This window comes from Homo sapiens, chromosome 2 (genome assembly GCF_000001405.40).
Source record: "Homo sapiens chromosome 2, GRCh38.p14 Primary Assembly".
NCBI lineage: Eukaryota > Metazoa > Chordata > Mammalia > Primates > Hominidae > Homo > Homo sapiens.
The window spans coordinates 115394979-115407993 of NC_000002.12; the positions used below are offsets into that span (position 1 = coordinate 115394979).

The following is a 13015-nucleotide window of genomic DNA, read 5'->3' on the forward strand; positions in this document are numbered from 1 at the left end:
AATGCATACCTCCTATCATTGTAGACAAAAGTTTATGTTCTCAAAGCTGTTTTCACGTACTACACTCTTCACCTCTATGTGATTTGTTTGCTAGAGCTGCTGTAAGAAAATTCCAGAGACTGGGTGGCTTAAATGAATGAAATGTATTTTCTCATGGTCTGGGTCCCGGAAGTTTATGATCAGGGTGCTGGCAGCACTGGTGCCCTCTGAGCCTGTCTTCTTGGCTTGCAGACCCCCACTCTTCTGCCTCTCCCCATGGTCCTGCCTCCGTGCATGTGCACCCCAGTATCTCTTTTTACGTGTATAAATTTCCTCTTCTTATAAGGATGCCAGTCAGACTGGATTAATTTCCACCCTAATGACCTAATTTTAACTTAATTTCTCTTTAAAGATTCTGTCTCCAAACACAGTTACATTTTGAGGCAGTAGGTTTAGAGCTTTGACATGTGGGTTTCAGAAGGACACAGTTCATCCCATAATAACCTCCAAAGACGTCAATGCTAAACAGCCTCCATGAGCTTATTACCAACTCAAAAACATCGCTTTCTTCCCAGGCCTTCCCTGTTTGTTTTACTTGACTGATTAATGTATGCTGCTCTTTGAAGCTCAGTTTCTTTCTCCAGTGAAGACCTACTGTTTTCCCACCTTCTTCTCTAACTCCTACTTTGCACTGGTTTACAACTCAGCTCACAATATTCCCAAGTTACTTTATCAGTAAAATGTTTTCAATAGATGAAACTCATAGCAAGTCAATACACCATTTTCCACTTAAATTTGCATTATTTTACATTGGATTCTAATTGATCCATACAGCTCGATTGTCTCCCCATCTAGTTTGCAGTTGATGAGAATGGGAATGACACATTATATTTATTTTGTATCTTCATATGTGTTGCTGTACATACTATATACAATGATAGAGTGCTGTGTATATATTATATTCTCAAATGATTCAATTTGATTCAATTTCTGATAGTGAAATACCCAGCTACCTGATTCTGCTGGTTTTCAATGTTACTTTAATTGGCGTGAATTTCCAGCAATTAGCTTTCCTTCACCATACATACTTTATAACCCTCTAGACTGCTCAAGTTGGCTGGGCCTGGTCTTCCTGACCCAGACCATTGGATGTTTAAGATCACATTCCAGGCATGAGGATGGCTGCACATCTATTACCTCACAGATTGTCAAGCTTGATTATTACTGATGTGGATGATTATCTAGGTGTCCTTATACCTCAGTGTTCCCCCTGTGCCTTTTCAAGAAGAGTATTTTACCCAGTACAGAACTTTTTTAGAAATCAAGGTTATACAAGCAACTGTGCTCATTTGTGATCATCTTGAAATCCGTAAATACTGTCCGAGTATATTACTATGTTAGGTGAAAGATTTGTGTTGCTCTCCACAAATTATCAATGTTTGTTTACAGAACATTTGTGAAAAATAATGTTTGGAAATGACTTGCTACGTGAAGTAAGTAACCAGTAACTCAAGCCATTTCTCCCATGTGGTCTGTTTTAAAAATGGAAATTCTGTAATCTGGCTTCCTCACCTTGGAGTAATATACAAAATGTCAAAATGAGAAAAGGGACCTTGGTAGTTGTTGTGTCTTTCTTGTTTATTCTTTCTTGTTAAATACTCAAAGAAAGAAAAACAGCATGCAATGTTTGTAGCTCCCATTGTGTTAGCTTTTTACTGTCCTGACATATGTCCTAAAGTTTAAAAAGCAATAAAAGGTTGCTGCTTCCACAGTCATTAGCTTTCGTTGCTGCAGTCAATCATCCACAGAGGTCAGAGCCGTATCAGTTTTTCCCATCCTCATTGCACAATCCACTCTAGCCATTGCACTCATATATCATTAAAGGAAAAACGAACCAAGGAAACTACCGAGACTCAAAAATGAACTTGCAATGTGAAAAATCTCCTATCTCCTTATTTGAGGAAAGATGCTCCTGTCACGCTGAGTAAACAATAAAATTATAAGGCCAACACTGTAAATGGAAGTATTATCCCATCTATTGATTTATAATGGGTTAATTAATTTTCAAGTGTTCTTATTTGCAAAACATGATGTGAACATTGACAGAAATCCTTAGATAGTTTAAGATGAAGTCACTTTTGTCTTAGTGACTTGATCACTTATACTTAGGCCATAGTTAAGAATCTAATAGGATTATTTCAGCAGAGTGTTGCCAGATTCATGTATAAAGTCAAGAAGTAAAAGAAAAATATAAGTTAGTCATGTTTGAGTTGGGTGATGTAACCTGGAAACAAATCTGACTGGACTAATAATAACAAGTTAATAAACTCACTGTGAACAAATCAATTAAAAACCTAGGCATTGTTATATTTATTTGCATCTTACTGTCTAACTAGACTTTAGTTGAACCACACTTCATTTCATTTTAATTCAAGCACTCATTGATAATATATTTTGCATTTCTTAGATAATTTCAAAAAAAGATAGTGTGCCATAGTCATATTATTATAAGGGACTAGAGTTATATTCTAAGTCTTCTGACATTCAATAAAATTGTTATAATTGGGTTAGACATATATGAATTACAAAACATGGGTTTGAAAGTGGTCACCCAAGCATGATTAGGAAAACTGCATACAAGTAGTCTTACTAAATACAAGTTGTACCACTCCTTGCTTCATCCCTCAGAAAGAGGCATGATGTTGTCACTGCTGCTCATCTTCAGCTTCCACTTTAGTTTCTGACTAATTCTGCCCTAGCATTTTCTTCCTGTGCTTTTGGCTGTGATTTTCCGGTTACTTGAATTTCTTGTCTGCCTTCTTTGAGCTAGAATTTTCAGGTTTAGTGTTTGTATTGTTCTGACTTTGTGTTTGGGAAGACTGCTGCCACAAGTATGTCCCGGTGTATGTAATTATATTCTTGACCAATGCTCCTTGTCTCTGTCCACATAACCTCTGTTGAATCCCAAATGTGTACCCTTGGCAAGTTGCTGGGTTTAGTGTGAGAGTCGATACGGCAACATCACATAGAAAAAATGTTCACGGCCAATTTCTAATTTGATAATGTGATGAAATTTATGGATGCTTTCCTCATTAAGATGTTCATCACACAAACAGCTGCATATAATTTAAAGACATATTCATGCATATGAACTTAAAAACTCATGGTTTAGAGGTGTTTTTAATGCATTTCCCTGGAGTTTTTCATTGTATATGACTTTTTTTTTTTTCCTTCTTTTGTCCCTTGGTTATATTAAGCTGCCTCTTAATACTTAGAAAAGCAGTGCTTAAGAAATTGGAATATCTCTTTCCATAAATATGTGATAAAATGTATTGTAACTTATATGATTTATTAAATTGAGTCACGCCTGAAGCAAATGCATTATTAAGTAGTTAAAAAATTCATGACATGTCCTTAACACACTGAGAGTGCCTTAGAGGAGTTCATTCATCTGATAAATATGTGTTTAAGAAAATTGCTTGAAATGAATCTCTTTTATGAGTTTTGGTAATTATTGTTCTTATTTAAGACTTAGATATATATAGCATAAATAACAGAATGTGTTTTTCACATAGGGTTGTGGTTTGTTTTTGAATGCAAATAGTCAGTCTTTTCTTGGTGGGTATATAATAAAATGCTTTTTTTGCATCATTAAAAGTTCTCAATAGTCTATGGTGTCCTAGAACATATTATCTACATTGTATATAACTATGTTTCTGTTTTGAGATTTAAAGGAACATATGCAATAGCAACTTTATATGAGATTTGATTTTTCATATCAGACTTCAGCCTCAAGCATTTAGTTGAAGAATGAAGATCTTAAATTTTGACTTTTCTGTTTTTAGCCAGACATGTTCAAAATAAAAGTGCTATTTAAAAAGAGGTCTGTTTCCATGTCATCTGAAATAGGGATGTTTTAATTTATGTTATAGTTTGAGATACACCAAATCAAAGGAACAAGCCTGCCTCAATAACCCAGTATAATTTTCCTATGGCTGCTGTCACATAGAGAGCACACTTTTTTTTAAGTTACAGCTTTCCATCCCTTTAGCACTTAATCATGTAGAGATTTGTATCGTTGATTATGCATAAAATAATTTGACTAAATACTCTGAGGCAGTGTCGGTGACATTTTGTTGCTGTTGGTACCACCTCTTGTTTCATTGCTACTACTATTAGTACCATCATCTTTGATAATTACTACAATTTACTGAGTGCTCGCATTGTTTCTAACATGAAGAAAAGGGCTTTATTTTAACTATGTTGCAGATAAGAAACTGAGATCTAGTGATTTTAAATAACACACACAAAAGAGAAGTATTGGGTGGATAATTATTTCTGTTTCTTTTTGTAATCCATGTATGCAATTCAACAACACACAATAATAATAGTATAAACTATGATCAAAACTCTTGATAGGCTTTTTATAATGCGATCGGACAACACTATTTAACTTTCTCATTTATTATTTATCTAAACTATTTGAATAATTTCAAAATATTCTCTGCTTTTCAGGCTACTTGATTTGCAGCCCAAATAATCTCAAAATTGTAATAAGTCAAGGAACATTTTTAGCCCGAATTATTAAAAAATTGCTTTAATTTTGCTTTAGAATCAACTCCTCACTACCCATTGCATTTTAGTTTTATGCGTTTCTTTATCTTCTATTGATGGACTTTGTAATATATTAATTTATATGCTTAAAGTCCCATTTAGCTATAGTTTTCCTTTTGATTTAAATGTAACTTAAAGAGAGGAAGGAAAATTTTTATTTCATCACAACTTCTTCCAAGTATTTTATAAAAATTCTGATGGTTCTCTTTACTGAACTTCTTCTAAGTGTTTCATAAAAATTCTAATGGTTCTCTTTACTGGCTTGTATTAGCTTGTACTTTCTTTGCTGTAAGGAAATATATGAGATGGGGTCATTTATAAAGAAAAAAAGGTTTAATTGGCTCATGGTTCTGCAGGCTGTACAGGAAGCATAGCAGCTTCTGCTTCTGGGGAGGTCTCATGAAGCCTCCAATCATGATGGAAGGTAAAAACAGAGCAGGACGTCTCATATGGCTGGAGCAGGAGCAAGAGACGGGGAGGGGTGCTACACACTTTTAAATGATATCTCATGGTAAATCACTCATTCACTATCATGAGAACAGCACCAAGAAGATGGTGCTAAGTCATTCATGAAGCACCACCCCCATGATCCAATCACTTCCCACCACACGCCGCCTCCAGCACTGGGATTACAATTTGACATGAGATTTGGGCAGGAACACAGATCCAAACCATGTCATGGCTGAATTTACCAAATCAACTGTGAATGGAAAGAAGTGAATGAATGCTAGCAAGTAAATGTATTTCAGATTAAATTTTTTTAGGGAACTAGAAGTAAATTGCCCTGTTTAAAAAATGAATTTATAATGGACTTCTAGCTTTGGCAGCATGAAGATGTTGTCACATTCTCTCCAAAAAGCAAGTACAGATGCTTCTAGACTTACAATCATGATATCTACCCATAAGTAAAAAAAAAAAAAATCTTCAGTTCAAATATGTTTAATACCCTTATACCCACCATAATATCAAAAGTTGTAGGTTGAGAGACTGTAAGTCCAGATGCTTCCTGACTTACGATAGGATTACATTCAGATAAACCCACTGTAGAGTGAAAATGTGTATGTTGAACCCTAGTAACTCAGGGACCATCTGTGTGATATTGGAAAAAAATAGAAACAACATTTCAAGGCACATATGTCAACAAAAAGCAGAAAACGAGTTAATAAAATTTACTTTTGAAATAAATGCAAGAGTTGCAAGTTAGAGGAGTATCTGTGGCCTTCTTTCCAGGTCGCTGCCATCTTCACTCCCCACGTCAATAGAGTCAGCAAGAATAGTATTTGTAACAGCGGGCATTGAAAACCAACAGTTTCGAGGCTATGCATGGGGAACTTCCTCAGTTTGGAGTAGCAAGTGAAAACCTATGGCTTTGCCAGCTAAAAGTGAGTACTTAGGTGGGAACAACTGAGCAAAACATTTGTGTTAGCACACAGAGGTCCTGGTTGGGGGAGCAATGGACCAGCAAGAAAGTTAGCCAAGAGATTCTGAAAATGAGCGAGCCATAGAAGGTCTGAGATAAGGTCTCGCATATCACTGGCTATTAGGGAGGCCTGAGAGGGATTTGAGAAACAGAAGCTGAGGAAGACTTGAGGACTCACTTCAACTTTAAGTGTGTTTTCCAAACCACTCACTAATAAATGTGAAGTGGGTAGACACCTTATGGAAACAAAGCCTTTGAGTACATCCTCTATCCAAATAACTGGGTGATCACTAAACTATGAAGACATGCTGGAGGGCCAGGCTCATTCCTATAATCCCTGAGCTTTGGGAGGCCAAACTGGGAGGATCATTTGAGGCCAGGAGTTTGAGACCAGCCTGGGTAACATAGAGAAGTCTTTCCCTGCAAAAACATTTTTTTAAAATGTATCTGGGCTAGTGGTGTGTGCCTGTAGTCCTAATTACTTGGGAGGTTGAAGTGGGAAGGTCACTTGAGCTCAGGAATTTGAGATTACGGTGAGCTGTGATCAAGCTATCACACTCCAGTCCGGGCGACATTGTGACACCCTGCCTGTAAAAATAAATGAATAGATAAATAGACGCAGGGCAGTATTCCTAGAAAACAAGGCATAAAAATACAATAGTAATGGTAAAATACAATTAAGTAGAGTATCAGTGGCTGGGCTACACATCAAAGCTAATTTTAACACACATACACAGAAATATAAACTGCATTCCAGAGTTGGTATGATGCATTTTCTAATATATTAAATTTTCAACCACAAATTATGTGATATCCGAAGAAACATGAAAGTGTGACCAATACTCAAAAGAGTATTGAGTCAATAGATATTGACACTACATGGGACCAGATATTGGATTTAGCAGAAAAAAAAAAATTCAAAACATCTACTATAAATATTTTCAAAATATTGAAGGAGTGACATCAGCAAAATGGCGGAGTAGGATTCTTGGGCTTCACTCTCCCTATAGAAATCCAATAGCAACACAGGAAGTATACCATCCTAAATGTCCCAGAACTCAGGAGTGAGGCTAAGACTTCCCTTGGACCCTTGGACTTCAGGACAAAGAAAAATGGAAATCAAATATTAAGACTTCAGATGTTTCACCTCGTTGCCCTTTCTCTAGGCCAACACAGTACCATACACAGAGAATTCTCCTGGACCCACAGTTTCTACAGTTGGGAAAGTTAGTTGGAAGCAAATCTTCAGTTTTCCCACCATTCAGGCACTCTTTACAGAAGGCTCATTCCTATTTTGTCCCACAGGAAACATTGGGATTACAAGCAGGGGTGGACCACCTGGGGTCAGTTGGCAAAAAAGAGCATTTAGGAGCAGCTTTAAAAAAGAATAGACAAACCTTTAACTAGACTTACTAATTACAAAAGAGAGGTTATTCAGTAAACAAATCAGAAATGCAAGGCGAGGCATCACAATTTACACCACTAAAATACGAAGAATCATAAGAAACTATTATTAACAATTACACACCAGTACATTGGATAACTTAGAAGAAATGGATAAATTCCTAGACACATGAAAGCTTTGAAAACAAACACAAAGAAATAGAAAACTCAATAGAGCAATAATGAACACAGAGACTGAATCAGTTTAAAAAAAAAAAAAAGTCTTCCACTGAGGAAAAGCGCAGGACTGGACGGCTTCACTGCTACATTCTACTAAACATTTAAAGAAGAGATAATACCAATTCTCAAACCATTCAAAAAAACTGAAGTATAAACAATGCTTCCAAACTCATTTTATATCCCAAACTCATTACCACAACACCAAAGGCAGACAAGGACACTACAAGGAAAAAAAAAAAAATATATATATATATATATATATGTGTGTGTGTGTGTGTATATATATATGTATATATATGTGTGTATATATATATGTATATATATATGTGTGTGTGTATATATATATATATGTATATATATATGGCAACATCATTGATAAAGATACATTTTTTAAATCCTCAACGAAACTATTAGCAAACCCAGTTCAAGAACACATTAAAAGAATCATTTTTCACAATCAAGTGAGAGTTATTCTTAGGATGCAAAGATGGTTCAAAATATGCAGATCAATAAATGTGATGCACCACTTTAACAAAATGAAAAAAAATGAGAAGATGCAGAAAAAGCATTTAAGAAAACTCAGCACCCTTTTCTTATAAAAATTCTCAACAATTAACTATACGGAAAAAATGTACTTCAGCACAATATATGACAAACACATAGCTAGTATTATTCTTAACAGTGGCTAGTTGAAAGCATTTCCTGTAAGATCAGGGACAAGACAACGATGCTCACTGTCACTACTTCTCTCTTTCTTTCTTTCCTTCTTTTTTTTTTTTTTTTTTTTTTTTTTTTTTTTTTTTGATACAGAGTCTCACTCTGTTGCCCAGGCTGGAATTCAGTGGCATAATCTCAGCTTACTGCAACCTCCGCCTCCCAGGTTCCAGCGATTCTCCTGCCTCAGCCTCCAGAGTAGCTGGGACTACAGGCACCTGCCATAACACCCAGCTAATTTTTGTATTTTCAGTAGAGATAGGGTTTCACTGTGTTGCCCATTCTGGCCTCTAACTCCTAACCTCAAGTGATCCATCCACCTGCTTCAGCCTCCCAAAGTGCTGAGATTATAGGCATGAGCCACCGTGCCTGGCCACACCACTTCTCTTTGATAAAGTACTAGAAATCAGAGCCAGAGCAGTTAGGCAATAAAACAAAATAAAAGGCATACTAATAGGAGAGAAAAAAGTGAAATTGTTTCTCTTTGTTGATAAGATGATCTTATGTGTAAAACACCTTAAAGACATCATAAAAAAACTATTAGAACTGATCAATGAATGCACTAGAGTTGCAACATTCAAAATTAATGTGCAAAAATCAGTAGCTTTTCTATATTGCAATAATGGTCTATCTTAAAAGGAAATTTTTTAAAAAATCTCATTTACAATAGCAATAAAAAAGTTAAATATATAGGTGTAAATTTAACTGTAAAATACCTGAGTATTAGACCATTCCCACATTGCTATAAAAATATATTAGACTAGGTAATTTATAAAGAAAAGAGGTTTAATGGGTTCACGCTTCTACAGGCTGTACGTAAAGCATGATGCTGGCATCTGCTTGCTTTTGGGGAGGCCTCAGAAAACTTACAATCATGGTGGAAGGCAAAGGGGGAGCAAGAATGTCACATGATCAAAGCAGCAGAAGTGGGAGGTACCACATACTTTTAAATGACCACATCTCATAAAAACACTCACTATTGCAAGGACAGTATAAACAGGATGGTCCTACTCATGAGAAATCTGTTCCCATAATTCAATCACCTCTAACCAGGCCCCATCTCCAACACTGGGGACTACAGTTCAACAGGAGATTTAGGTGGGGACAACATCCAAACTATATCAACTTATATACTGAAAACTATAAACATTGAGGAAAGAAATTCAGGGTAATACAAATCAATGGAAAGATATGCCATGTTCATGGATTAGAAAAATTGATATTGTGAAAATGTTTATGCTACCTGTCTTCATCTGTTCTGTGTTGCTATTATAGGATACCTGAGACTGGGTAATCTATTTTAAAAAAAAAGACGTTTATTTTGGCTCAGCATTGTGGAGGCTGGAAAGTGCAACATTGGGAAGCCACATTTGATCAGCATCTGATGAGGGCCTTTTACTTCATCATGACATGGAAGAGAAATGGAAGGGGAAGGAGGCACACAAAAGAAAGGCCAAATTGGAGAGGCAACTTCACTTTATAACAATCCATTCTTTCAAGAATTATTCCATTCCTAAAATAATCAACCCAATCTCAAAAGACATGAATCCATCTTAATGACCTATTTTCCTTTTAAAGGCAGTACCTCCCAACAGTGCCACATTGGGGAACATGGTTCAACATGAGTTTTGGTAGAAATAAACCACATTCAAATCACAGCATTCTATCCCTGGCTCCCCCTATAACTCATGTACTCACAATGAAAAATGTTTTCAACCCATTTCAATAGTACCCAAATCTTAACTTATTCTAGCACTAAGGCAAAAGTCTAAAGTCCAAAGCTTCATCTGGGACTCAAGGCAAAGTCCTTCCAGCTATAAGCCTGTAAAATAAAAAATAAATGTATTTTCTAAATACAATGGTGGAACAGGCATAAGATGAGTATTCTCCTTCCAAAAGGGAGAGAGAGGCAAAAAGAAAAATCAGCCCAAAGTAAGCCTGAAGCCCAGCAGGGTAGACATTAAATCTTAAAGCTCAGAATATTCTTGTACTTCATGTACCTTTTCCTGGGCACACTGGGGTAGAGGAGGGGCTTCAAGACCTCGGACAGGCCCACCTCCAAGACTTTGCTGGGTGTAGCCCGTGTGGCTACTGTCATGGATTGGGGTTGCATGCTGGTGCCTGCAGATTTCCTAGGCTGGTGTCGCATGTTGCTGATGACTTCTGTGGGTCTGGAGTCCAGAGGGAAGTGGCCCTGCTCCCATGGTTCCACTGGGCATTCTAGAGAAGACTCTCTGTGCTGACTCTGCCACTGTGACAGATTTCTGCCTGAGCTCCTAGGCAGTTTGACAAAAACTTTGAAATCTAGTTGGAGGCTGCTGCACCTCCTCCACTCTTGCATTCTGCCTGCATGCGGAATTAGCACCATATGGATGTGGATATTGCCAAGGCTTACGACTTTTGCCTTTTGAAGCTGCGGCATGAGCTGTACCTGGGATCCCTTGAACCATGGCTGGAACAGCCAGAGCAGCTGGGATGCATGGAGCAGAGAATCCTGAGGAGTGTGCTTGAGGCCTATCCCCCACAACATTCCACCCTTGGAGACCTCTGGGCCTAAGATAGGAGAAACAGCCTGGAAGATCTTTGAAATGCCTTTGGGGTCTTTTTCCCACTGTCCTGATAAATGGCCTCTGGCTTTGTTCTCTTCACACTAATCTATTTAGTGAAGAGTTGCTGTACCGCACCCTTGGCTTTTCTTCTGAAAACAGTTTTATTCTCTACCACATGGTCAAGCAATAAATTGACCAAATCTTTTCACTCTACTTCCCTTCTTTCTAGCAGTTCACTAGCAGTTAGAAGTAACCAGGCAGCAGCCTGAACATTTGCTGCTTAGATATGTCTACAAAGCCCTAGGACAGGGACACAATATGATCAAGTTCTCTGCTAATGTCTAACAAAGATGGCCTTTACACCAGTTCCCAGTAAGATAGTCCTATTTCCATCTGAGGTCTCATCTGAATGGCTTTTACTGTTAATATTTCTGTCAGCATTCTGGTCATGACAACTGAACCAATCTCTAAGAAGTTTTAAACATTTTTTTAGTCTTTTTTGTCTTCTTTTGAGCCCTCATTATATTATCCTTAATGCTCCACATACAGAAATACTATTTATAATAGAATATTATTCTACTTAAATGATAGGTAAGGGAGGTGATGGATATGGTAACTAACTTGTTTAAAAGAGAAAGATATGACTATGTGCTGTCTATAAGAGATGAGACTAACTTTAGATTGAAATATAAAAATAGGTTATAAGTAACTTGATTTAAAAATCTGTACCATACAAACATAACCATAAGAGAGTTAGAGAGGCTATATTAAAATCAGACAAAAACATATTTTAAACTAAGGTATATTACTAGTTATAAAGAGGGATCTTTTAATTAAAAAAAGGTCAACACGGAAGGAAAAGATAACAATTATAAAGGTACTTAACACTAGAGCTTTACAATATATGAAGTAAAATCTGACAAAATTGAAAAAACAGAAATGGACATTTCAACAAATATAATTGTGATTTCAACACCCTTTTCTTAATTGATAGAGAAAGAACAGACTAAATAAGTAAAGATACAACAAACATGAAAAATACTATTGTTGTAGAAAAAACCGGGTTCTTGTCACACGACCAGAAAATATTAGGCATGCAGACACTTTGAAGAGTGACGGGGAGTGGAATTTATTGGATGAAAATAAAAAAAACCCTGTCAGCAAAGCGAGAGGGGTTCCTGTTAACAGGTCTCAACCTCACAGATCGAATCCCAGGTCACCACCCAGGAACAGAAGAGGCCAGGCTCCTTCGCCCTGGAAACAGGGCGAACTTCCTGAGCCTCTACCCTGTCTCTGCAGTGCGCAGGTGGGCATTATTCAGAAATAATCAGTCAGGAAAAGGGAAGGCTTCATCTGGGACAGGCAGCCTGGTTTCTCAGCCTTCAGGCTGTTTCAGCCTTCAGCCTCAGGCGGGGTTTTGCCAGGGGACCCTTGGCTGCCTCCTGTCTCTATCATTCCCCCTCGAAAGGAGCACATCTAACTGCCCTTAGAATAAGGATAAGGATAAACACGAAGACCAATCTTAACTGCTTCCTGAAGACAGAGGGGGCTGCTTTGGGGAAATGGCAGTCAGATCTCCCTCAGAGGCCAATCTAAGCGTTCCTGGCAAAAGGGGCCATTGTCCAAGGCTCTGTTTGCATGACCATTTGGAGTCTGCTGGCCTGAAGGAGAGAAGGGACAAACCAGGTTATTAGAAAACATGTATCCAAATGAAACAAGGGGTGGGTGAGGACAGCTCAAAAACCCGAGGTCTTTTACGGGTGTGTACATGGAGAGGGAGGCTGAAAGCCCACTGGAAAAAAAAAAATACTTTTACCTTTTTGCCAGCGTGTTAGGCTTCTGGGTCCCCTTCCCCTGAGCCCAGTCCTAAGCCAACCAGTTTAAGGTTTGTGAAATTAACTCTTCCCAGTTTGGAGGATGCATATGACGGGAGCGTCCCAGAGTATGGACACACAATTACCTATCAGTGAAGAGAGGACAGAGGAGGAAAAAGGAAAAAAAAAGTAGTCATTTTTTTTCAAAGGATTCCTAGGGATTTAGGATGCATTCAAAAGGGGTACAGACTGAAGATGAATGGCTACTCATCTAGAATGAGGAGAGCAAGCGTCCCTGATTC

At 37.5% G+C, this 13015-nt stretch overlaps 1 protein-coding gene across 24 annotated transcripts in view; it reads left to right on the forward strand.

Annotated features, from left to right (window-relative positions):
- Positions 1-13015, forward strand: part of DPP10 (dipeptidyl peptidase like 10) — a 1403140-nt gene that overhangs the window by 952338 nt on the left and 437787 nt on the right. Inside the window, exon 4 of one of the 24 annotated variants that reach the window (NM_001399851.1) lies at positions 5824-5975. Within the exon in view, the coding sequence (NP_001386780.1) occupies positions 5957-5975 (19 nt within the window). The 5' untranslated portion in view covers positions 5824-5956. 24 annotated transcript variants of the gene reach the window in all.